Here is a 24,630-nt window from a genome sequence, read left to right on the forward strand (position 1 = left end):
GGACTACAGGCGCATGCCACCACACCTGGCTGATTTTTTTTTATTTTTAGTAGAGACGGGGTTTCACCATGTTGGCCAGGCTGGTTTTGAACTCTCAACCTCAGGTGATCCGCCTGCCTCGGCCTCCCAAAGTGCTGGGATTACAGGCTGATCCACTGCGCCTGGCCTATAGTTGGTATTTCTAAACTTTAAAATCTGGGTGTGAATTGGCACTCTTCAGTATATAAGACAGTTGCTAGCATGATTCTAATAAGTGTCTGGGTACTAGGATACATGAGATGCACTTTCGGATTTGAGTATCTGACCCTGCTTTGTCATCAATAGAACCAAGGTGGGAAGCTGGCAGTGCTTGGTTCATGTCACATGTTCAGTGATCAATATTTGGACAAAGAAGAAAACAGCAAAATCATGGTAAGCTTTTTCTTTTGTCATATTAATATACAATGTGTATTATTTTCATGTCATTTAAAAAAATACTGGTAAGTTTATTTGCTCATTTAAAAGCAGCTACTCAGAACCCATTATATGCCAGGCACTGAGAATACAAAGTCGAGTCAGGCATAGTCCCAGTCCCTGCTTTGGAAAAGTTTGTAATACACTGAGAGAGAGAGAGACAAATTAGTAAACCCAGAAGGGTGTTTCTGAGCATGTCAGGTGGGGTGGGAGCTGAGCCTGGAGAAGCGGAGAGGAACAGGCTCAATAGCAGTATCACGTGTAAGGCCAAGGAGCTTGAACTTGATGCTGAAAGCCACAGGGAGCCCTTGGGTTTTCAGCAGCCTTGAGCATAGCCAGATCTGTGTTTCTTCTTTTTTTGTTGTTGTTGTTTATGAAAGAACTTCTAGAATGTTTTGGAAAGATTCTTCTGTCAGTTGTGTGGAAAGTGGAAAGGAGGAGGCAGCCTAGAGCCAATTAGGAAGGTGGTGGTGTCACCAGGCAAGGAGAAATGGGGACCTGAATTACGGGAGTCAAGGTGTGAGTGGAGAGGAGGGGCTGGTAGGAATGGGAATTAGGAAAGGCTCTGTAGAGGACTACTCACTGACTGATGTGGCAAATAAAGTAAAGGCATTGCAATTTTGTCAAAAAAATGCCAAGGGAACATGTCTTACGGAAGATGGCAGAGTAGGGAAGCACATGTCTGTACAGCATGTGCCAGAGCTGTCCATTGGTGATTCCAGTGAGAGAAAGAAACGCCTTATAATTGTTATATTGGGAGATTGATAAAGATCTTATTTCTGTGGAATTTACATGAAGTTTCAATGTCTCTAGACACATTATGGGAGATCTAGATATTCTACTTTTTTTTTTTTTTTTTTTTTTTTGACATGGAGTCTCTGTCTGTCACCCAGGCTGGAGTGCAATGGCACCACCTCAGCTCACTGCAACCATCGCCTCACGGGTTCAAGCGATTCTCCTGCCTCAGCCTCCTGAGTAGCTGGGATTATAGGTGTGCGCCACCACACCAGGCTAATTTTTGTATTTTTAGTAGAGATGAGGTTTCACTATGTTGGCCAGGCTGGTCTCGAACTCCTGACTTCAGGTGATCCACCTGCCTCAGCCTCCCAAAGTGCTGGGATTACAGCTTGAGCCACCACTCCCGGCCTAGGTATTCTTCTTTTCAAAAGTTTTAATTTCAGACTGTCATCACAGTAAATAGGGATTAATTCAGGATTGTGAACAAAGGTTAATAAATTTTAGCTTGTGGTTAGAGGTTAGGGTGCTTAAAGATACATTATAAATTTCTGATAATAAAAGTTGCATTATGCTGGTCATGGCAGCTCATGCCTGTAATCCTACTACTTTGGGAGGCCGAGACAGGTGGATCACCTGCGATCAAGAATTCGAGGCCAGCCTGACCAACATGGTGAAACCCCATCTACTAAAAATACAAAAATCAACCAGGCCTGGTGGCAGGCACCTGTAATCCCAGCTCCTCAGGAGGCTGAGACAGGAGAATCGCTTGAACCCAGGAGGTGGAGGTTGCAGTGAGCCAAGATTGCGCCACCGCACTCTAACCAGGGCGACGGAGCGAGACTCTGTCTCAAAAATAAAAGGTGCATTAGGGTGAAGAAAACCTTTGAGTTCTCATATGATTGCATCAAGACAAGGCTGGCTACCCTTTTCTGAATCACTGGTTTAATCTTTCTTCCTTTATCATTCTTCTTGATTTAATTCTCTAGTCCTGACCTTCAGCTTTTTCAAATAACCAACTGTCCTAATTATATACTTTTTTTTTTAATTTAGGATGTTGTTTTCCAGTGGCTCACGACAGGAGACATCCACCTAAACCAGATTGATGCTGAGGACCCAGAGGTAGACACCGAATTATTAGAAACTTTTAAATGAAAAATGAGTCCAGCTTCTCAGTACCACTTCTCACAGCTCAAAAGGAATACATGACTGTCTTAACTCATCTGTAAGACAGATGGAACGAAGGAATGATTTGGGGGAGATGAAGGCCATATTGTAAAAAATAAGTCAATAAACAATATATGTAATTAATCATAGAATTAATTGGAGGGGGAGCATACATACATACAGTATGTATATAAATTAGAATTTAAATTATGGGCACTCTGGCCCAGACTTTCAAAATGAGCATCTGCAGAAAAATACTTTTTTCAGAAATCTGAAATTTTCTCATAAAGAAACAAAGAGTATCAGAATTTATGTTGTAAACTATAATTTTGTTGCCTTTAGATTTAACAGTTCTAAAGGCATTATAATAATATTCATCAGACAAGGGAAAGTGGTGAAACCAGCACAGTGAAATCACCACCGGCTCTTGGACCTTATACAGGTTCTTTCTGACCATTTTTCATCCTAGTTTTCTTTATTAAAAAAATTTTTTATTGTATTTATTTTTTGAGATGGAGTCTCGCTCTGTCGCCCAAGGCTGTAGTGTAGTGGCACAATCTCAGCTCACTGCAACCTCTGTCTCCTGGGTCCAAGCGATCCTTCTGCCTCAGCCTCCTGAGTAGCTGGGATTACAGATGTGAACCACCATGCCTGGCTAATTTTTGTATTTTTAGTAGAGGCAGGGTTTCACCATTTTGGCTAGGCTGGTCTCAAACTCCTGACCTCAAGTGATCCACCTGTCTCAGCTTCCCAAAGTTCTGGGATTACAGGCGTGAGCCACTGGGCCCAGCCTTCTAGTTTTCTTATCTGTGAACAGGGAACACTAATACCCGTGTTCTCTGCCTCACAGGATGGTTGTGTGGGCTAAGTTAATAGATGGTAATGTGTCAGGCATTGTATGCCATATACTTCCACATAAGTCATCTTATTTAATCCTCATAACTGCCCTGGGAGGCACATGGTCTTATTCTCATTTTATAGATGAGGAAACTGAAATCCTTCAAGATTGCAGTGTGTTCAAATGGCAGGCAAGTGCAGAGCCAGGATCCAAATCCAGGTCTCCTAATTCAAACTGCACTTACTCTACAATTGTTTCTCTATTTCTTAAACTCTGAAATGTCAGGAAAATGATTTCCTGGCCATTGGTCATAGGAGGTAGGTGAGAAGACAGTCGAAGATGGCTGTCCACTGACTGCTTCCTCCCTCACTAGGGACATGGCTTCTCAGAGACTGATTTGGGTTAGGAAACAGGAGAGCTGCATGTCTAAAATATTTCCTTATGTGGAAACATTAAGCATGTGGATATTTTGCTTCATTATTTAAGTGTAATATATTTAACCACTCTCGGCCGGGCGCGGTGGCTCACGCCTGTAATCCCAGCACTTTGGGAGGCCGAGGCGGGCGGATCACGAGGTCAGGAGATGGAGACCATCCTGGCTCACACAGTGAAACCCCATTTCTACTAAAAATACAAAAAAAAAAATTAGCCGGGCATGGTGGCAGGCACCTGTAGTCCCAGCTACTCGGGAGGCTGAGGCGGGAGAATGGCATGAACGCAGGAGGCAGAGCTTGCAGTGAGCCAAGAGCATGCCACTGCACTCCAGCCTGGGCGACAGAGCGAGACTCGTCTCAAAAAAAATAAATTTTTTATACATATATATATTCTATATTTATATTTATATATATTTTATATGTAAATATAAATATATACATATTTTATGTAAATATAAATATATACATATTTTTATGTAAATATAAATATATACATATTTTTATGTAAATATAAATATATACAAATTGTGTGTAAATATAAATATATACATATTTTTATATGTAAATATAAATATATACATATTTTTATGTGTAAATATAAATATATACATATATTTAACCACTCTCCTGTTGGCAGGCATTTATGTTTTCCTGGTCTTTTACTAGTCCACAGCATGTGTCATGACTGAGGGCTCTCAGCAATGCTGGAGGGATGTCCTTGGCTAGGGGAGAAGGACTGGGATCTAGTGTAGCAGTGGAGGAACTGTCTGTACTGGTGTCACAGGTGCTCTGGCATGTATCAGGAGGAAAGAAGCAGATAGGGCCTGGATGCTAGGGGGTGGGCACATGTTATGGTGGGAGCTTGTGGACTTTCTTTCATGATTTCCTCTATTTTCTTACTAAAATAGAAAATAAGGTCATTGCTAAAATGGTGAAAGGGAAAACCAATTTTTTTGTTTTGAGACAAAGTCTTACTGTGTCACCCAGGCTGGTGTGCAGTGGTTTGATCACGGCTCACTGCAGTGTTGACCTCCTGGACTCAGGTGATCCTCCCACCTCAGCCTCCTAAATAGCTGAGACTACAGGCACACACCACCATGCTCAGCTAAATTTTTTTGTATTTCTGTAGTGACAGGGTTTTGCCATATTGCCCAGGCTGATCTCCAACTCCTGGGCTCAAGCGATCCACTCACCTCAGCCTCCCAAAGTGTTGTAGGTGTGAGCCACTGCACCCAGCTGGGAAAATCATTTTGATGGCTGAACTGACAAAAGGGAATTATTGTCTAGAAGAATGGGAAAGTGAGTAGACTACGGAGATGTAGTTGATTGCTGAGCGCTCAAGATCAGAGATCATGAAATTAAAAGACCAGTTGATAGGGTTGTATGTTTCTCCAGCTGTTTTCAGCCATGTGAGTACTGGTGTAATTGGAGATTTGGATTTAGCCAGTACTGGGGTTTAGCCAAGTGAGTTTTGTTCCTCTTTGCACATAAATTGGCTTATTTAAGGTTTAGTGTCAGTGATCATGAACAGTAAAATTTCTTGGCAAGAGAATATAAATGTTGCAGATTTAGACCTGAGACAGTGGAGACTTGACAGAATAAATGCTTGCTCTTGCTGTGCTAAAAGGAACCCTCTTGTGGCTTTCAGATTTCTGACTACATGATGCTGCCCTACACAGCCACCCTATCAAAGCGGAATCGAGAGTGTCTCCAGGAGAGTGATGAGATCCCAAGGGACTTTACCACCCTCTTCGACCTGTCCATCTTCCAGCTGGATACCACCTCCTTCCACAGCGTCATCGAGTCAGTACCTGTGGGCCTCTGAGCCACACTGCACTCCATTCTGAGTGTTTGGTTTGGAAACATGAACCTGGGAACGGGAATTAGGGTCACAGTAAATGTGGCATGCAGAACATGTTCTCAGATCTATGATGAGGTCAACAAAGAAACTGGGCTGGGCATGAGGGGTTGATGTAGAGGAACTGCCAGAGGTTATTAGCCCCTGCGTGTTCCAGATTCTGGACCAGGCATTTAGCCTGACCAGCTTGTTTCATTTTGCCCCAGACTTCTGGTTTTAGCACAGAGAGTCCCAAGTCCCAGGAAAATGGAGTCCCAAGTCCCTCAGTAAATGGAGATGGTGGTCACCTCATTTCTCTCTGGGTATCTGGGCAACTGGTAATGCTATTAACTGGCACTTAGAATGCAGGAAAAGGAATGATAAATGGGCTGTGTTCTGGGCACTCTCAGTCTAGTGCGGATGTGCAGGTGGAACTACAAGTTTAAAGATGAAAAGATCTGTAAAGCCGTTAGGGAAGCCGTGGGATGGGATGAGGACATCAGGGACAGCACAAGAATGGGAATTGGCCTTGAGACAGGACCTCACAGCTGTCAGTGCTTGAGAGGCAGGAGAAGAAGAGGGCCAAAGACAGAAGCTGGGGAAAAGCAGTTAAAAGTACAGGACAGCGGGCAGCATCCTGAAGGCAAAGGAGGAGGAAATGACACAGAAGCAGAGGGGTTCAGAAAGGGCCAGGGCTCATCTTCACTGTTTCTAACCTGAATTTTGCTCAGGGAGAAAATTGTTTAGCTTGTCTTCCTTTCTCACCCCCGTGTATCCGGAGAGCAAGAGCCATGTCTTATCAACCTGGAATCCTCATTGCCTAAGACCCAGAGCCCAGCACATCCTGGGCATTTGGGGGATGTTTGTGAAATTAGCATGCTGCCATTCTCCTTGTGCCTTGCTTATACATCCACTCAGCAAGTATTTGTGGCACAACTACTTTTCCAGGATCTTGGGATGCTTCAGGGACCTCAATAATGAAAATCTTTGCCCTTTTGAAGTTTATTATCTAGCAAAACAGACAGGCATCAAGACATTTCTATATGTGTGATGTAAATTAAAGAATATGTTAGAAGATGATTACATACGTCAAGCAGAGTACTGGGGTAGGGGAGTGCCAGGCACATTGCATTTTAAATAGGGTGTTCAGGCCAGGCGTGGTGGCTCACACCTGTAATCCTAGCACTTTGGGAGGCCAAGATGGGAAGATCGCGAGGTCAGGCGTTCGAGACCAGCCTGGCCAACATGGCGAAACCCCGTCTCTACTAAAAATACAAAAATTAGCTGGGCACGATGGTGGGCACCTGTAATCCCAGCTACTCAAAGGCTGAGGCAGGAGAATCGTTTGAACCCAGAAGGCAGAGATGGCGGTGAGTCAAGATCATACCATTGCACTCCAGCCTGGGTGACGGGAAGACTCCATCTCAAAAAAAAAAATAGGGTGATCAGGATGGCTTCATTGAAAAGGTTAGATATTTGAGGAAAAACCTGAAGGAGGTAAAGAATTTAGCCTTGTGGCTATCTGAGGGAAGAGTATTCTGGGCAGAGGAAACAGCCAGTCCTAAGACTGCAAGACGGAGGAATGCCTGATACATTCAAGGAAGAGCAACAAGGCCATCGTGGCCACTGCAGAGTGAGTAGGGGTGAGAATGGTGGGAGATCAGGCCTGGCCTACTTTTTTGCCTCTGTAAGGACTTCCTTGGCTTTCACTCTGGGTGAAAAGAGGAGCCACTGAGAGTTCTGAGCAGAGGTATGGCATAATGACTTCCTTATATCCCGAACGTCAAGGAGCAAGAATGGAGGTAGGGCCTGAAGGGAGCGGTCACAGTAACTCAGGCATGAGTTACTTGGGAGGCTGAGGTGGGAGGATTGCTTGGGCCCCAAAGGTTAAGGCTGCAGTGACCCGCTCCAGCCTGGTCAACAGAGAGAGATCTTGTCTCCGGAAAAAAAAAAAAAAAAAAAAAGTTGCAATAACTGAGTTGAGAAAGACTGCGAGTAGATTTTGCAGGAAGAGCAGAAGTTCAGTTTGAGGTATATGGAGTTGAGATGTCAATTAGGTATCCAGATGATGTTTAGTAGCAGTTTTATATTTTAACCTGGTGGTCAGAAGAGATCTCTGAGCTGCACATTTAATTTGGGAGTTTGGGGGCACATCTGTACTTCATCTAAAGCATACATCTTTTCCTTTTTTTTTTTTTTTGGAGACAGAATTTCACTGTTTTTGCCCAAGCTGGAGTGCAGTGGCGCAATCTCTGCTCACTGCGACCTCTGCCTCCCAGGCTCAAGCAATTCTCCTGCCTGAGCCTCCTGAGTAGCACCACCATGCCCAGCTATTTTTGTATTTTTAGTAGAGTCGGGGTTTCACCATGTTGGCCAGGCTGGTCTCGAACTCCTAACCTCAGGTGATCCACCTACCTCGGCCTCCCAAAGTGCTGGGATTAAAGGCATGAGCCACAGCACCTGGACCTATTTTCAAATCTATAAAATCAGGATGAATCTTTTTTCTTATTTTTTGCCTTTTTTTCTTTCTTTTCCTTTTTTTCTGTTTTTCAGGATGAATCTTAACAATAGATGATGTATGAGTTTAATTAGCATTTTTTTTCTTTCAATGGACCATAAATTATGATGCATCTTACCTTTGGTGGATTCTTAGATTTGATGAAATATGGTAGATAGTATGTAAAGCCATGTGACTGGATGAGCTCACAAAGTGTTAAAAGTGTTGATAGAGAAGAAAAAAGGACCATCTATTGAGCCCTGGGGCACCCCAGAGTTTAGAATTTAGGAAGAAACAGAAAATCCAGCTGGGCACGGTGACTCAACGCCTGTAATCCCAGCACTTTGGGAGGCCGAGGTGGGTGGATCACTTGAGGCCAGGAGTTTGAGACCAGCCTGGCCAACATGGTGAAACCCCATCTCTACTAAAAATAGAAAAAAAGTAGCTAGGCATGGTGGCACACGCCTGTAGTCCCAGCTACTCGGGAGGGTAAGGCAGGAGAGTCACTTGAACCCGGGTGGCAGAAGTTGCAGTGAGCCAAGAACACACCACTGGACTCCAGCCTGGGCAACAGAGCAAGACTCCATCTCAGAAAAAAAAAAAAAGAAAGGAAGAAATAGAAAAGCCAAAAGAAGAGATGGAAAAGCGCCAGCGAGTGTGAGATGAAGAAAATCAAGTGCATGGTATTCTGAGAGCCAAGCAAAGAAAGTCTGTCAAGATGGAAAGGGTAATCAGCAGTGTCAGATACTTCTGATGGGTCATAAAAAATGAGGGTTGAGAATTTATCATTGGATTTAGCAACATGGAGGTAACTGGTGATCTAGACAGGGTCTTCTTTATGACATGGTGAGGGTGAAAGCTCATTTGAAATTGGTTTAAGAGAGAATTGGACATAGCAAACATAGATAGCTCTTTTATGGTATTTGCTACAGAGAGGAACAGAGCAGGGGCAAGGGCCAGGGTCAGTAACTAGCTGGAGGAAGTAAGGTCAAGAAGGTGTTTTTTGGATGGAAGAAGTCACAGGATATTTTTATACTGGTGGGAATGTTCCAGTAGAGAGAAAAATGGATAATGTAGGAGAGAGCGAGGAAAATGGCTGGCGTGAAACACAAGAGTAAGCAAGAGACAATGGGAAAGGGGGTTTGGTAAGTTGTCTTAGCTCTTTTTCTTTTTTTTTGAAGACAGGTTTCACTCTTGCCCAGGCTGGTCTGGAACTCCTGGGCTCAAGCAGTCCTCCCACGTTGGCCTCCCAAAGTGTTGGATTATAGATGTGAGCCACCATTCCCAGCCTGGCCTTCGCTTTTATTTTTATTATGTCATATATATATAGAGAGAGAGAGAGAGAGTTTTTTTTTTTTTTTTTTTTTTTGAGATACAGTCTCACTCTTTACCCAGGCTGGAGTGCAGAGGCACGATCTCGGCTCACTGCAGCCTCCGCCTCTCAGGTTCAAGTGATCCTCCTACCTCTCAGCCTCCATAGTAGCTGGGACTACAGGCGTGCACCACCACACCTGGCTAATTGTTGTATTTTTAGTAGAGACGGGGTTTCACCATATTGGTCAGGCTGGTCTCAAACTCCTGACTTCAAGTGATCCACCCGCCTCAGCCTCCCAAAGTGTTGAGATTACAGGCATGAGCCACCACGCCCAGCCCAGTCTTAGCTTTTAGACAGAATCATGGATCATTCAGTTGGTACCCTGACTGGGGCTGCTGCCTTTCTTTCAGAGATGCCCTGCTCAGAGGGGAGGAATCTAGAGAGGCAGTCTGGCTACAGTGGTTTTGTGGCGCTGCAGTTGGCTCCACCCAGTTCAGACTTCCCAGCAGCTTTGTTTACGCTGTAAAGGGAAAATCGCCTACTCAAGCACAGATGGGAAACATGGGTGCAGACTCTGGTGGATGAGAAAAGTTGTTGATTGAAGATTGTGGAAGTTCTCAGGGCTTCAGTCCTTTTGATGAAATAGGAAACAAGATCATCAGTTAAAAATTACCAAAGAAGCCGGACATGATGGCTCACGCCTGTAATCCCAGCACTTTGGGAGGCCGAAGCGAGCGGATCACGAGGTCAGGAGTTTGAGACCAGCCTGGCCAGTATGGTGAAACCCTGTCTCTACTAAAAACACAAAAATCAGCCGAGCTTGGTGGTGCGCGCCTGTAGTCCCAGCTACTCGGGAGGCTGAGGCAGAAGAATCTCTTGAACCTGGGAAGCAGAGGTTGCAGTGAGCCGAGATCGCGCCACTGCATTCCAGCCTGGGCGACAGGCAGAGCGAGACTCCATCTCAAAAAAAAAAAATTGCCAAAGAGATAGTGGAGATTTAGGAGAGAAGGCATATATTAGGCCTCTAGGGGAGTGGGAGAGGGAGTAGACAAGGTTTCTGTAGAAGGATTTGCCAGTCCCACGGGAGGTTAGAGGTTTTGGATCTAACTACAAACCAGTAGAGTGGTATGTTTTCCTCCAAACTTGTTTAGCTGTGTAGCTGCCGGCAGAGTGGGCCCAGACATGGATTTAACTATTGTGATTTTGTCAAGCAAGTAGTATAAAGAGGAAGGGGCAATATCTTTTGTAAATGCCCAGGAATTACTTAGTTGCATGTTTTAGTATAAACAGTAACTGCTATAATTGTGGTTTTAATTAGCTTATTTTGTAAAACCTTATACATCATATCCAAAAGCTCTGTTGTACGTTTTTGTTTTTTTGTTTTGTTTTTTATTTTTTTGAGATGGAGTCTTGCTCTGTCACCCAGGCTGGAGTGCAGTGGCGCCATCTCGACTCACTGCAAGCTCCGCCTCCCGGGTTCACGCCATTCGTCGGCCTCAGCCTCCCCAGTAGCTGGGACAACAGGCGCCTGCCACCACATCCAGCTAATGTTTTGTATTTTTAGTAGAGACAGGGTTTCACTGTGTTAGCCAGGATGGTCTCGATCTCCTGACCTCGTTATCTGCCCGCCTCGGCCTCCCAAAGTGCTGGGATTACAGGCGTCAGCCACCGAGCCCGGCCCCAACTTAAGTTTTACAGACATTGAACCCCCACTTTCTGCCAAGAGCCTGCAAATACTACCACATTTACTGTTTACAACAATTCTGAAAAGTAGAGAATAGCTCCATAGTTAACTTCTAAGAAGCTGAGGCTTGGGACAATTTGCTCTAAGTTAAACAGCTACTAATCAAGCCCTGACTAACAATTGTCTTTAGCTCCCCTCTCATCTCCCCTTCCTTCAATATTAATAACAACTAACATTTATGTACTTTGCATTATCATGTAACAACCACAGTGAGGCTGTTATCTCCATTTTACATCTGAGGACGCTGAGGCACAGAGAAATTAAGTGATTTGCTTGAAATCACACAACTAGTTTTCATTGGGACCTGAATTTGAAGCCAGGCAATTTTAACTCTGAATCTTGGAAGAAATTATCTGAAAATGTGTTACTGTAGGAGGTGAGGGTGCTTTTAAGAAACAGCAGGACCAAAGCCTTCAGAGCTACCAGGGCGTGACATCTGCATCACCCCTTCCACAGGTAACAGCCTGGTCACAAATCCTGTAGCTCCTGGCTGCATGTTTGGCTCTTAACTTGCTTGGTTTTGAGCTCTGGTGTTCTCTTCCTCCTCTGCAGCTCAGGGCTTTTCTTAGAATAAAAAAAGATACATCTGACCACTCCGCTAGCCAGTTGCAGTCTGACCAGCTTCTGCTGTTTTGGCCTAATTCTCCCCTGATATGTTTAAACCAGATCATTATGATAATTCTTCAGTGTTAAATGAAGGATTAATTGGAACTGCCTACTGTCTTAGTGTCAGCAGAGTCAAATAGTGGATGTTTCAGAGACTTAGACAACTCTTGTATTTGTCTTACATACCACAGCAGAGGCCAGTAGTTACTGGCTTCTGGTGTCTATATGGTAAGCTCAGATATTTTCATTTGCTAGTAACATCTTTCAATAGTTTATCTTTTCTGAGTTAAAATTCAGTTAGGCTTTAAATATTTATGTCAACTACAGGGTGTTGCTCTGAAGTAATTTCATTTGTCCATTGGGTGTTTATCAATGCCTGTGGAGTATGAGGTAGAGGCAGATGGTGTGGAGTCCCTGCCCTTAGAGTTCATGGTCTGATGGGCTGGGGCTTGAAACATGGAGTGGTGAAAACGCAGTGCCAGAGGTCAGGCCATTCCCGAAAGATCTAGTTCAGCGCCATTTCACAGATTTATATTTAGCTTTTGCATCTGTTCTTCCCTTGGTTTTAAGATGAGTTTCTCCAGTCCCTTACCCGGTTCCCATCAAGCCATGTTGGCTAATGGTAGGAGGATAATTAGGGCAGGTGGTGAGCAGAGTGGAGGAAGGGAAGACTTAATGGGACAAAGCCTTTGCTCCAGCACAGTCAGCTCTCTCTGGGGACAGAAAGCGGAAATAAATTCACAGCTGGGATAGCTGAGGCTAGGACTCAGCAGCAGGATTCTTTGTGAGCAGGTAGTAAGAATTTTAGTTTAAAACTGCCCCTAATCACTTTTGATTTTGGGGCAGACCAAAGTAAAGATTCTGGTTGGCAGAGATTGGCTACGTCTGAGTTCTGATCTTGCCTTTGTCCCATCTTAACCATATGATTTGGGGAAGCTACTGTTTATCATTCCTGTACCTCAGTTTCTTCTATAAGAGATTATCCGACTTTCCACAGTTGTATTGAGGATTAAATAAGTTTAAGTGCCTAACACAGGGTTGGCATAATACATGGCATATAGCAGGTGCTTGATAAAAGTTATTTCTCTTCCCTCTGTGGAGATCTGCTGCTCAGTGCTAGGAAAGATTCTCCCCAAGCACCTGGAAATAGTGGAGGAGGTGACAGCAGTGAGCTCATTTAATCGTCTTTCTGCAGTCACAGACCTCACTCATAGAAAAAAGCTGCCATGATCTTTGTCCACTCATTGGCATTTGGTTTTCTAGCTTAACTTTGAAGGGCTACAAATATATGTACAATTTAAACTGGATGACAATATTTTACTTTGCCTCTTCCCCAGAAAAGTTTAGCCAGCTTAAAAAATTGCATACAATGCAAAAGGATAACATGAATGTTTGAGAGAATGAAGGCAAAGGAGAAGCCACAATAGAAAAATAATGCAGGGGTAAGATGAGCTCAGCTCTGTAGGCTCGCTCCTAACACTGATCCTCTGCTGGAGTCACTCTGGCTGGCCTGCTATTCTGTGAAAATGCCGGGCACCCTTCTGCCTGTTCTTGCTCTTGCCTCTGCCAGGGACACTTTTGAAGATAACTGCGTGACTTCCCGCCTCCCTCACTCAGGGCTCTTCTGACAAGCCACACTCCCTGCCTCTGCCCCTTCCCTGTCTCTTTCTCCTCTGATTTGTCTTTTTTTTTTTTTTTTTTAAGACAGAGTTTCGCTCTTGTTGCCCAGGCTGGAGTGCAACGGCACGATCTCCGCTCACCACAACCTCCGCCTCCTGGGTTCAAGCAATTCTCCTGCCTCAGCCTCCCGAGTAGCTGGGATTACAGGCATGCACCACCATACCTGGCTAATTTTGTATTTTTAGTAGAGACGGGGTTTCTCCATGTTAGTCAGACTGGTCTTGAACTCCCAACCCCAGGTGATCCGCCTGCCTCGGCATCCCAAAGTGCTGGGATTACAGGCGTGAGCCACTGCGCCCAGCCTATTTGTCTTCTTAATATTTATCAGTTCCTGACATCTTTTTTTTTTCTTTTTCTGAGACAGAGTCTTGCTCTGTCTCCCAGGCTAGAGTGCAGTGGTGCAGTCTCGGTTCACTGCAACCTCCGCCTCCCGGGTTCAAGCAATTCTCCTGCCTCATCCTCCTGAGTAGCTGGGATTACAGGCACGCGCCACCACGCCCAGCTAATTTTTGTATTTTTAATAGAGACGGGGTTTCACCATGTTGGCCAGGCTGGCCTCCAACTCCTGACCTCAGGTGATCCACCCACCTCAGCCTCCCAAAGTGCTGGGATTACAGGCATGAGCCCCTGCACTCGGCCAGTTCCTGACATCTTACTAGTTTTTTTGTTTAGTGTGTGCCTCCCCTCCCCCTACAATGTAAGTTCCGTGATGGCCTGCCTTGGCATCTTCTTTTACTGTTGCTGTACTCCTCATGTGTAGAACTGCCTGGTACATAGTGGATATTCAGTAATTATTTGTTGAGTGAGCACGCAGAAGTGCATATCATACAGATCTGTTTACTTGCCAGAAACAGATTTCAGATTTGACTCCTATCTCTTAATGGTGAAAAGAAATAAAAAAAACACAGGAGTTGCAAGATTCACTGTGTCCATCAGGCAAAACAAAAAGCTTATTTAGGAGAAACCTGATATGAAACTTGAAAGAAATGTTTCTTTTCAGTTCTCAATGAGTAATAATGTATGATACGGTAGAGAAGATTCCTGAAAGGATCATTACATTATTTATAACAACACATTTTGTCTCTTTTTAATTTGGACTTTATTGTATTCATAGCTTTAACTTTTTAAAAGTCAAAATTGGCCGGGCTTGGTGGCTCACGCCTGTCAATCCCAGCACTTTGGGAGGCTGAGGTGGGTGGATCACCTGAGGTTGGGAGTTCGAGACCAGCCTGACCAACATAGAGAACCCCCGTCTCTACTAAAAATACAAAATTAGCCGGGCATGGTGGCGCATGCCTGTAATCCCAGCTACTCGGGAGGCTGAGGCAGGAGAATTGCTTGAACCCGGAAGGCGGAGGTTGCGGTGAGCCGAGATCATGCCATTGTCCTCCAGCCTGGGCCACAAGAGCGAAACTCCGTCTCAAAAAAAAAAGGTCAAAATTATTTATCTTTCAAATCATGTATTAACTATTATTTGTAATCCACTATGATTAAGACAGAATTTGGGGCTGGGCACAGTGGCTCACACCTGTAATCCCAGCACTTTGGAAGGCTGAGGCGGGTGGATCACGAGGTCAGGAGTTCGAGACCAGCCTGTCCAACATGGTGAAACCCCATCTCTACTAAAAATACAAAAATTTGCTAGGCATGGTGGCACGCGTTTGTAGTCCTAGCTACTCGGGAGGTTGAGGCAGGAGCATCGCTTGAACCCGGGAGGCAGAGGTTGCAGTGAGCTGAGATTGCACCACTGCACTCCAGCCTGGGCGACAGAGTGAGACTCTGTCTCAAAAAAATAAATAAATAAAAGAGAATTTGGCTGCCTTAGGTGAGCAGTTAATACCAATCAAAAGAAAATTTAAGATTGAAGTAGCTGTAAAGAATGATGAAGACCCTCATTCCCAGGAAATCAATTTCCATCTTTGGACAAATCTCAATACCAGAAACTGATTTAAAAAGAAAAGGTTGGGTGCGGTGGCTCATGCATGTAATCCCATCACTTTGGGAAGCTGAAACAGGAGGACCTCTTGAGGCCAGGGGTTCGAGACCAGCCTGGGCAACATAGTGAGCCCTTGTCCCTACTAAAATTTTTTTTTAAAAATTAGCAAGGCATGGTGGTGCACACTCGCTCGTAGTCCTGGCTACTCAGGAGGCTGAGGTAGGATGATTGCTAGCTAGAGTCCAGGAGTTCAGGATTAAAATGAGCTATGATCATACCACTGCACTCCAGCCTGGGTGACAGAGTCAAAATTTATCTCAAAGTAAGTGTTTAGATTGTGGTTTTTGTGCATAAATGAAAAAAAAAAATAGAAGAAGAAGAAAAAAGATAAAGCACATAATACTTTAAACATATTGATGCATATGAGTGATATGGGAAGAATAAATTCAAATTTCAAAGTTGGAATTAATATAGGTATTATTATTTTGGAAGGGGAAATCTCAAACCTTTACACTAAATCAAAGAAAAAAATTCAGAATTTCAACCAGTCACCAAAGAAAGTGAAACACTGCATATCTACATGAGTATCTGAAACAGACAGAAACTAGACTAACTTCCATGAAATTAAATTCCATTAAAATATTTCATTGAAATCCCCTTGAAATACGTTAACATATTCTGATCTAAAATGAAAAAAGATTTAACTATGTAATCTATGTAAGTTAGAATGCATATTCTATTTAGAGAGTTGATTAAGTAACATTGATATTATTTTATGAGGTGTTTTTTTTTTTTAACTTTTAAGTTCAGGGGTACAAGTACAGATTTGTTACCTAGGTAAACTTGTGTCATGGGGGTTTGTTGTACAGATTATTTCATCACGCATGTGTTAAGCCTAGTATCCATTAGTTATTTTTCCCGATCCTCTCCCTCCTCCCAACCTCCAACCTTCTATAGGCCCCAGTGTGTATTCTCCCCTATGTGTCTGTGTGCTCTCATCATTTAGCTCCCACTTATAAGGACATGTAGTAGGCTGGGTGCGGTGGCTCATGCCTGTAATCTCAGCACTTTGGGAGACTGAGGCGGGTGGATCACGAGGTCAGGAGTTCAAGACCAGCCTGACCAACATGGTGAAACCCATCTCTACTAAAAATACAAAAATTAGCTGGGTGTGGTGGCGCGTGCCTGTAATCCCAGCTACTTGGGAGGCTTAGGCAGGAGAATCACTTGAACCTGGCAGGCAGAGGTTGCAGTGAGCCGAGATCGCGCCACTGCACTCCAGACTAGGTGACAGAGCAAGACTCTGTCTCCAAAAAAAAGAGAGAGAGAGAAAAAAAAAAAAAGGACATGTGGTATTTGGTTTTCTCTTCCTGTATTAGTTTGCTAAGGATAATGGCCTCTAGCGCCATCCAAGTCCTTGGCAAAGGACATGATCTCATTCTTTTTTTTTGAGACAGAATTTTTGCTCTCTTGCCCAGGCTGGAGTGCAATCGCACGATCTCTGCTCACTGTAACCTCCGCCTCTTTGGTTCAAGCGATTTTCCTGCCTCAGCCTCAGCCTCCTGAGTAGCTGGGATTATAGGCGCCAGCCACCACACCCGGCTAATTTTTGTATTTTTAGTGGAGACAAGGTTTCACTATGTTGGCCAGGCTGGTTTCGAACTCTTGACCTCAGGTGATCCACCCACCTCGGCCTCCCAAAGTGCTAAGATTATAGGGGTGAGCCACTGCGCCCAGCCAATCTCATTCTTTTTTATGGCTGCGTAGTATTCATGGTATGTACCACATTTTCTTTATCCAGTCTATCATTGATGGGCATTTGGGTTGATTCCATGTCTTTGCTATTGTGAATAGTGCTGCAGTGAACATATGCATGCATGTGTCTTTATAATAGAATGATTTATATTCCTTTGGGTGTATACCCAGTAATGGGATTGCTGGGTCCAGTGGTATTTCTAAAAATAGTACTGAACCACTGTATTTCATGGAGAACAACACAGTGTGGTCAGTTAGACGTGCTGAGCTATAGTGTCTTGATCCCTGCTTTTTTGTTTGATTATGAACACAGGGCTCACGAGCAGCTAAATGTGAAACATGAACCACTCCAGCTCATCCAGCCTCAGTTTGAGACGCCGCTGCCAACCCTTCAGCCTGCGGTGAGTAGGTGTGCTTGGGAGATCCCACTGCAGAGCCCCACTGTTGCCCTTATCTTGTCAGCAGGCATTCGCTGTGGTCCCTTCCATGTGCCATTTGTGGCACTCCTTGTGGAGTCATAGTGCTCTGTCTCTAAACATGCATGGACACCAAATTTGTTAATGTTCTATAGAGACTTCCATGTGGTATGCTTCCAAATTGAGGAATCAAGGATGTGGAGCCTTCTGGCTATTAAACATTTCCTATTCTCATCTTGTGGGGTTGGAGGGCATATATGAGATTTCTTGGATAAAAAGGAAGAAAACTTTGTACTGCCATTCCAGGTGTCAGGGCCTGATTCATAACATAATTCTCACAGCCCAGGGGATAGTTATGGTCATGTGTGTAAATAGGTTATTTTTCAACATTTCAGTCCAACATTCAACTTGCCTTTAAAATTACCTTGTCTCACCACATTCTGAAATGTTATGAGCCAGTTAGCTTGATCTTGCTTGGTAGCTTGAAATTGGCCATGGTGAGAGGATTTACATTACAGAAAATGGTAAATGCTACAAAACAGGCCTTCAGTTTTGTTTTGTTTTGAAAGTAGTTAAACATTTACCCGCATACCATTGGTTCATACCTACAAAATGTGACTCCAGGTTCAATACTTTCTACACTAATCTGCATCTGGTTCTCCAAATAACTTCCATCCCTAAAAACTTATGATTAAATGAGAAACAAGTTGTACAATCAAATGTTCAACACAAACCTAAGCCCCAAGCTTTGTGTCATCGTTCTGAGTTAATTAGCATTGGTATGTCAGCTTGGTCAGTTTAGTGGTAATTAGAGCTGGTTCTACTTGGTTGTTTACAGTGGGCTAATAATCTTTCTTGGTATGGGTCTAATGGGTGAGGGTAGACGAGGTGATGGGAGTTTGGGTATTTCATCCTCAGGGAAGAGCCGAGTTACTGTTCTGTAGGGGTTTCCATGTGGTGTGGTTCCCAACTGAGGAATTAAGGATGTGAACTTCCTTATTCTCCTTGTGTCTTATCACTGTTAGTTATGATTTTGGACAAGCTCTTTCTTGAGAGACTTTATTTCCTTTACCTTATCCTCCCTCATTTCTAAATAATGACTTTATTTCCTTTTAGGTTTTTCCTCCCAGTTTCCGGGAGTTACCACCTCCTCCTCTGGAGCTATTTGATTTAGATGAAACGTTCTCCTCTGAGAAGGCACGGCTGGCTCAGATTACCAATAAGTGTAAGTTTGGCGAACTTTTTTTTTTTGAGACAGAGTTTCACTCTTGTTGCCCAGGCTGGAGTGCAATGGTGCGATCTCGGCTCACTGCAACCTCTGTCTCCCAGGTTCAAGCGATTCTCCTGTCTCAGCCTCCCGAGTAGCTGGGATTACAGGCATGCGCCACCACGCCCAGCTAATTTTTGTATTTTTAGTAGAGACGGGGTTTCATCATATTGGTCAGGCTGGTCTCAAACTCCTGACCTCAGGCGATCAGCCCGCCTCGGCCTCCCAGAGTGCTGGGATTACAGGCGTGAGCCACCATGCCTGGCCTAAGTTTGGCCAACTTTTAAACTTTGTTTTCTCTTATGAGTTTTATTTAATCATGAATTTCTGAGAATTGCTATGAGAGACTGCTTAGAGTTTGTTTAGGGAAAACAAAATATGAATAGGAGTATAAACTTACCATTCTTATTTATGTCATGTAAATAATGTTGGTTGTTCTTCTCGAGGCTATTTAGTTCAGTGAATTAGAACATAGTGCCAAGCAGAAAGCCAAAGGTCTCAGCTTTGATCCCTGTGAGTCCTTAGTTCTGACCTATTGAGAGACCATAGAATTAATCTTGACCCTGGCTGCCACTTAGCAAATCTCAGTCAGTGGTCATAGGAGCAGCTAAATAAGGAAATTGAGTAAGGCCCAAAGAATGATAGAGACTTCAAATTGGACAGGATCTGAGAGAGAGCCAAGTGTGCCCACCTTGACATGTGGATGAAGAAATGAGGCCCCAGGCCACACAGCTCCACGGTGAGTGGTCCTCCTGACTTTTGGTCTGGGGCTGCTCCTGACATGAATTGCCTCCAACACAGCAAATGGGTCTGCACATATATGCTCAGAGGCATAAAATTAACCATCCACTTTGAGGCAGTGACCCCACTCCTGGAACTCTAATCTAAGGAGATTATATTTTTTTTTTTTTTGAGACAAAGTTTCACTCTTGTCGCCCAGCCTTGGGTGCAATAGTGCTATCTCAGCTCGAGGTAACCTCCGCCTCCTGAGTTCAAGCGATTCTCCTGCCTCAGCCTCCCAAGTAGCTGGGATTACAGTTGCCCACCGCCACGCATGGCTAATTTTTGTGTTTTTAGTAGAGATGGGGTTTTACCATGTTGGCCAAGCTGGTCTAAAACTCCAGACCTCAGGTGATCCACCCGCCTCAGCCTCCCAAAGTGCTGGGATTACAGGCATGAGCCACCACGTCCGGCCAACTTCTACACTATTTATTTTTAAAATACAATAAACTCGGGAGGCTGAGGTAGGAGGATCGCTTGAACTTAGGAATTTAAGACCAGTCTGGGCAACATAGCAAGACCCTGTCTCTAAAAATATATTTTAAAAAAATAACAATTTTTAAAAATAGAAAAAAACTATAAATTTGGGAATAGCTTTAATGTCCACTAGCAGAGTAATGGTCTTAAAATGCGTCACATTCATTTGGTAGGAGAATATGTAGTCATTATAAAAGAGGTTCACAAAGGCTAGGGAATGACACATATGACACAGACAGAATTTAAGAGAGAATCCTGAATGAAGAAAGCAAGATATAAAACTGCATGTACAAGAGGATACCAGCTATGTCAGTAACATCTGTATGTGCCCAAAGCCCAGAAAGAAGTAAGCAAAATGGAAACAGTTCAGTGTAAACGAAGACCTTTACTGCATCTCTCTTCTGTGGCAGGCATTGCTGTGGGTCCTGGGCAGTCAAAAATGAGCAGGACATAGTGATGAGTCCAGGAGGAATCACAGAACGGTGAAGAAGCAGCTTTGACTTGGCATTTCTGTTTCTAGCAACTGTCCTATGGAAATCCTTGTAGAAATGCAAGACAAAAAAGATATAGATATTAATTATAGCATTCAAAAAATTGGAAACAGTCTAATGGTCCATCCATCATTAGGGGGATTGGTTAAAAAGAGTATGAAATAAGCCTGGGTCACATAGACCCCATCTCTACAAAAAAAAAAAAAAAAATTGCCTGAGCACGGTGGATCATGCCTATAATCTGAACACTTCAAAAAGCCAAGGCAGGAGGATCAGTTGAGGCTGGGATTTCAAGACCAGCTTGGACAACATAATGAGACCTTGTCTCAAAAAAACAAAAAAAAAGGCTGGGTGCAGTGGCTCACGCCTGTAATCCCGGCACATTGGGAGGCCAAGGTGGGCAGATCACCTGAGGTTGGGAGTTCAAGACCAGCCTGACCAACATGGAGAAACCCCTTCTCTACTAAAAATACAAAATTAGCTGGGTGTGGTGGCGCATGCCTGTAATCCCAGCTACTGGGGAGGCTGAGGCAGGAGAATCGCTTGAACCCAGGAGTTGGAAGTTGCGGTGAGCCGAGATCGTGTCATTGCACTCCAGCCTGGGCAACAAGAGCGAAACTCCATCTAAAAAAAAAAATTTTTTTAAGTAGCCAGGTGCGGTGACGCATTTCTATATTCCTAGCTACTTGGAAGGCTGAGGTGGGAGGATCACTTGGGCCCAAGAGTTGGAGGCTGCAGTGAGCTATGATACACCTTGCACTCCAGCCTGGGTGACAAAGGACCCTGTTTCTGAAAAATAAATAAATAGAAACAAAATAGAATATTACATACCTGTTAAAAGAAAAATGTAGCCTGGGTGCGATGGCTCACACCTATAATCCCAGCACTTTAGGAGGCTGAGGCAAGAGGATCACTTGAGACCAGCCTGGGCAACACTGTGAGACCTCTTCTCTATAGAAGAATAAACAAAATTAGCCGGGCATGGTGGCTCACTCCTGTAGTACCAGCTACTCAGGAGGCCCAGGTGGGAGGATTGCTTGAGCCTAGGAAGTCAAGGCTGCAGTGAGCTAAGATTGTGCCACTGTCCTCTAACCTGGTTGACAGAGCGAGACCCTGTCTCAGAAAAGAAAAGGCCAGGCGCAGTGGCTCATGCCTGTAATCCCAGCACTTTGGGAGGCCGAGGCAGGTGGATCACAAGGTCAGGAGTTTGAGACCAGCCTGGCCAAGATGGTAAAACCCTGTCTCTACTAAAAATAAAAATAAAAAATTAGCCAGGCATGGTGGCAGGTGCCTGTAATCCCAGCTGCTTGGGAGGCTGAGGCAGGAGAATTGCTTGAATTCGGGAGGTGGAGGTTGCAGTAAGCCAAGATCACGCCACTGTACTCCAGTCTGGGTGACAGAGTGGGACTCCATCTGAAAAAACAAAAAAGAAAATAAAAAAAATGCAGGGCATAAACTTTGATTCGGAATGTCCATAATACATCATTAAATGATGAAGTCAACTTAGAAAACTATTCTAGTTTGATCCCATTTTTGTGAAAACTTACATTTACACACAGAAGCATACATAGCAATAATAATTCTAGGTAGTTGGTGGCAGTAGAACTAGGATGAAACATTGATACAGCTGTGGGTTTGAATGTCTTAGTAAAAAACATACATTTCTATCAAAACTTAAAATGCAAATCAGAGGGAGAATAAATTAATTACAGCTGGGCTCAGTGGCTCATGCCTATAAGCCCAGCACTTTGGGAGGCCAAAGCAGGTGGATTGCTGGAGCTCACGAGTTCGAGACCAGCTTGGGCGACATGGTGAAACCCCGTCTCAAATACAAAAAATCAGCCAGGCGTGGTGGTACACACCTGTAGTCCAAGCTACTTGGGAGGCTGAGGTGGGAGGATGGTTTGAGCCCAGGAGGCAGAAGTTGCAGTGAGCTGAAATCATGCCACTGCACTCCAGCCTGGGTGATAGAGCCAAACCTTGTCTCAAAAAAAAAAAAAAAAAAAAAAAAGGAAGAAAGAAATTACAGTATAATGTGAGAAGGGCAGTAATGGCTGTCTATCCTACATGTAGGGCTCCAGAGGATGGCTTCACAGAGCTATGTTGTTGGTGGAATTATGGGTGATTTTTTTCTTTAATTTTCTTTCTATAATATTGTTTGTTTTTTGGGGTTTTGTTTTGTTTTGTTTTGTTTTGAGACCTAATTTTGCTCTTGTTGCCCAGGCTGGAGTGCAGTGGCACGATCTTGGCTCACCACAGCCTCAGCTCACTGCAACCTCTGCCTCCCGGGTTCAAGCGATTCTCCTGCCTCAGCCTTCCTGAGTAGCTGGGATTATAGGCATGCACCACCACGCCCGGCTAATTTTGTATTTTTAGTAGAGATAGGGTTTCTCCATGTTGGTCAGGCTGGTCTCGAACTCCCGGCCTCAGATGATCCACCTGCCTCAGCCTCCCAAAGTGCTGGGATTACAGATGTGAGCCACCACGTCCCCCAGGCTGGAGTGCAATGGCGTGATCTCAGCTCACTGCAACCTCCGCCTCCCAGGGTTAAGCAATTCTCCTACCTCAGCCTCCCGAGTAGCTGGGATTACAGGTGCGCACCACCATGCCCGGCTAATTTTTTTGTATTTTTAGTAGAGACAGGGTTTCACCATGCTGGCCAGGCTGGTCTCGAACTCCTGACCTCGTGATCCGCTCACCTTGGCCTCCCAAAGTGCTGGGATTACAGGCGTGAGCCTTCACGCTCGGCTGTTTTGTTTTGTTTTGTTTGAGATGGAGTCTGTTCTGTTGCCCGGGGTGGAGTGCAGTGGCGCAATCTCTGTTCACTGCAACCTCCATCTCCCCAGTTGAGGTGATTCTCCTGCCTCAGCCTCCCGAGTAGCTGGGATTACAGGCCTGCATCACCACATCTGGCTAATTTTTGTATTTTTAGTAGAGATGGGGTTTTGCCATGTTGGCCAGGCTGATCTTGAACACCTGACCTCAAGTGATCTACCTGCTTCAGCCTTCCAAATTGCTGGGATTACAGGCATGAGCCACCACGCCCAGCCAATACAATATTGTTTTAGTAAATGCTATTTTTAATTACCCATATGCTTCTCTATAGTCATCTTTGTTGCATTCAGGGAATGATAATTTGATTTCCTACTGTTGCACCTGTTCTTTCTAATGTAGGAATACTAGATCTGAGGAATAGGAAAGCCAGTACCAGTCCAGTTTTATTCTGATTAGGAGTGCTTTTATTATAAAAGCAGCACATTAGAGAGCTCTAGGGTTTTTCAGTGTTGAAATCCTGTAGTCACATTACTTTAGGAAGAGGTGAGTGATCTTAGGAAATGTGGAAACATGACAGGGCATACCTGAAACACACTAAGTCTGTACTTTGGGAAGGGCAGAAGTTAAGAATTAATCTAACTACTACTCCAACTGTCTTAGGTACTGAAGAAGACCTGGAATTTTATGTCAGGAAGTGTGGTGATATTCTTGGAGTAACCAGTAAACTACCAAAGGACCAACAGGATGCCAAACATATCCTTGAGCACGTCTTCTTCCAAGTGGTGGAGTTCAAGAAATTGAACCAGGTACAGAGCCTACAAGGCACAGTGTAGTGGGAGCCCCTCCAGTACTGGTATCTTCCATGGACTGTGCTTGCCATGTTTTATGACGTTGATTCAGCCTGTAAATATTTATTAAGCATCTACTAGGTGAACAAAACAGACAATAAACCCTGTACTTATGGAACCTATATACTAGCTGGAGGATGTAGACAATAAGCAGTAAACATAAGTGAGTCACATAGGATGCTAGAAAATGGTAAGTGCTTTGGTATAAAAGAAGTGGAGGCTGGGCGCAGTGGCTCACGCCTGTAATCCCAACACTTTGGGAGGCTGAGGTAGGCAGATCACCCGAGGTCAGGAGTTCGAGACCAGCCTGACCAACATGGTGAAACCCCCTCTCCACTAAAAATACAAAAATTAGCCGGGCATCATGGTGCGTGCCTGTAATCCCAGCCACTCAGGAGGCTGAGGCAGATGAATCACTTGAACCCAGAAGGCAGAGGTTGTGGTGAGCTGAGATCGTGCCGTTGCACTCCAGCCTGGGCAACAGTGAGACTCTGTCTCAAAAAAAAACAAAAAAACAAAACAAAACAAAAAAAAAACAGCTGGGTGTGGTGGCTCACACCTGTAATCCCAGCACTTTGG

The 24,630-nt window shown here is 44.2% G+C and overlaps 1 protein-coding gene across 7 annotated transcripts in view, besides 1 other annotated feature; it reads left to right on the top strand.

Moving 5' to 3' along the window:
* Nucleotides 1-24,630, top strand: part of IFT52 (intraflagellar transport 52) — a 56,363-nt gene that overhangs the window by 27,679 nt on the left and 4,054 nt on the right. For 6 of the 7 annotated variants that reach the window (NM_001323578.2, NM_001323579.2, NM_016004.5 and 3 more), the window contains 6 exons: nt 325-411; nt 2,242-2,310; nt 5,276-5,430; nt 17,311-17,398; nt 18,530-18,638; nt 23,864-24,009. In NM_001323578.2, coding sequence (NP_001310507.1) covers nt 325-411; nt 2,242-2,310; nt 5,276-5,430; nt 17,311-17,398; nt 18,530-18,638; nt 23,864-24,009 — 654 coding nt within the window. The remainder of the gene's footprint in view (nt 1-324; nt 412-2,241; nt 2,311-5,275; nt 5,431-17,310; nt 17,399-18,529; nt 18,639-23,863; nt 24,010-24,630) is intronic. The other variant, NM_001303459.3, reaches the window with a different exon arrangement.
* Nucleotides 19,288-19,501: a silencer, noted in NCBI's record as "fragment chr20:42266543-42266756 (GRCh37/hg19 assembly coordinates)". NCBI's record gives its function as "represses an EF-1alpha promoter that drives an FKBP-Casp9 reporter gene in an ReSE screen in K562 erythroleukemia cells {active_cell/tissue: K562}" and the evidence as "EXISTENCE:reporter gene assay evidence [ECO:0000049][PMID:32094911]".

Source organism: Homo sapiens, chromosome 20 (assembly GCF_000001405.40).
Source record: "Homo sapiens chromosome 20, GRCh38.p14 Primary Assembly".
Lineage (NCBI taxonomy): Eukaryota > Metazoa > Chordata > Mammalia > Primates > Hominidae > Homo > Homo sapiens.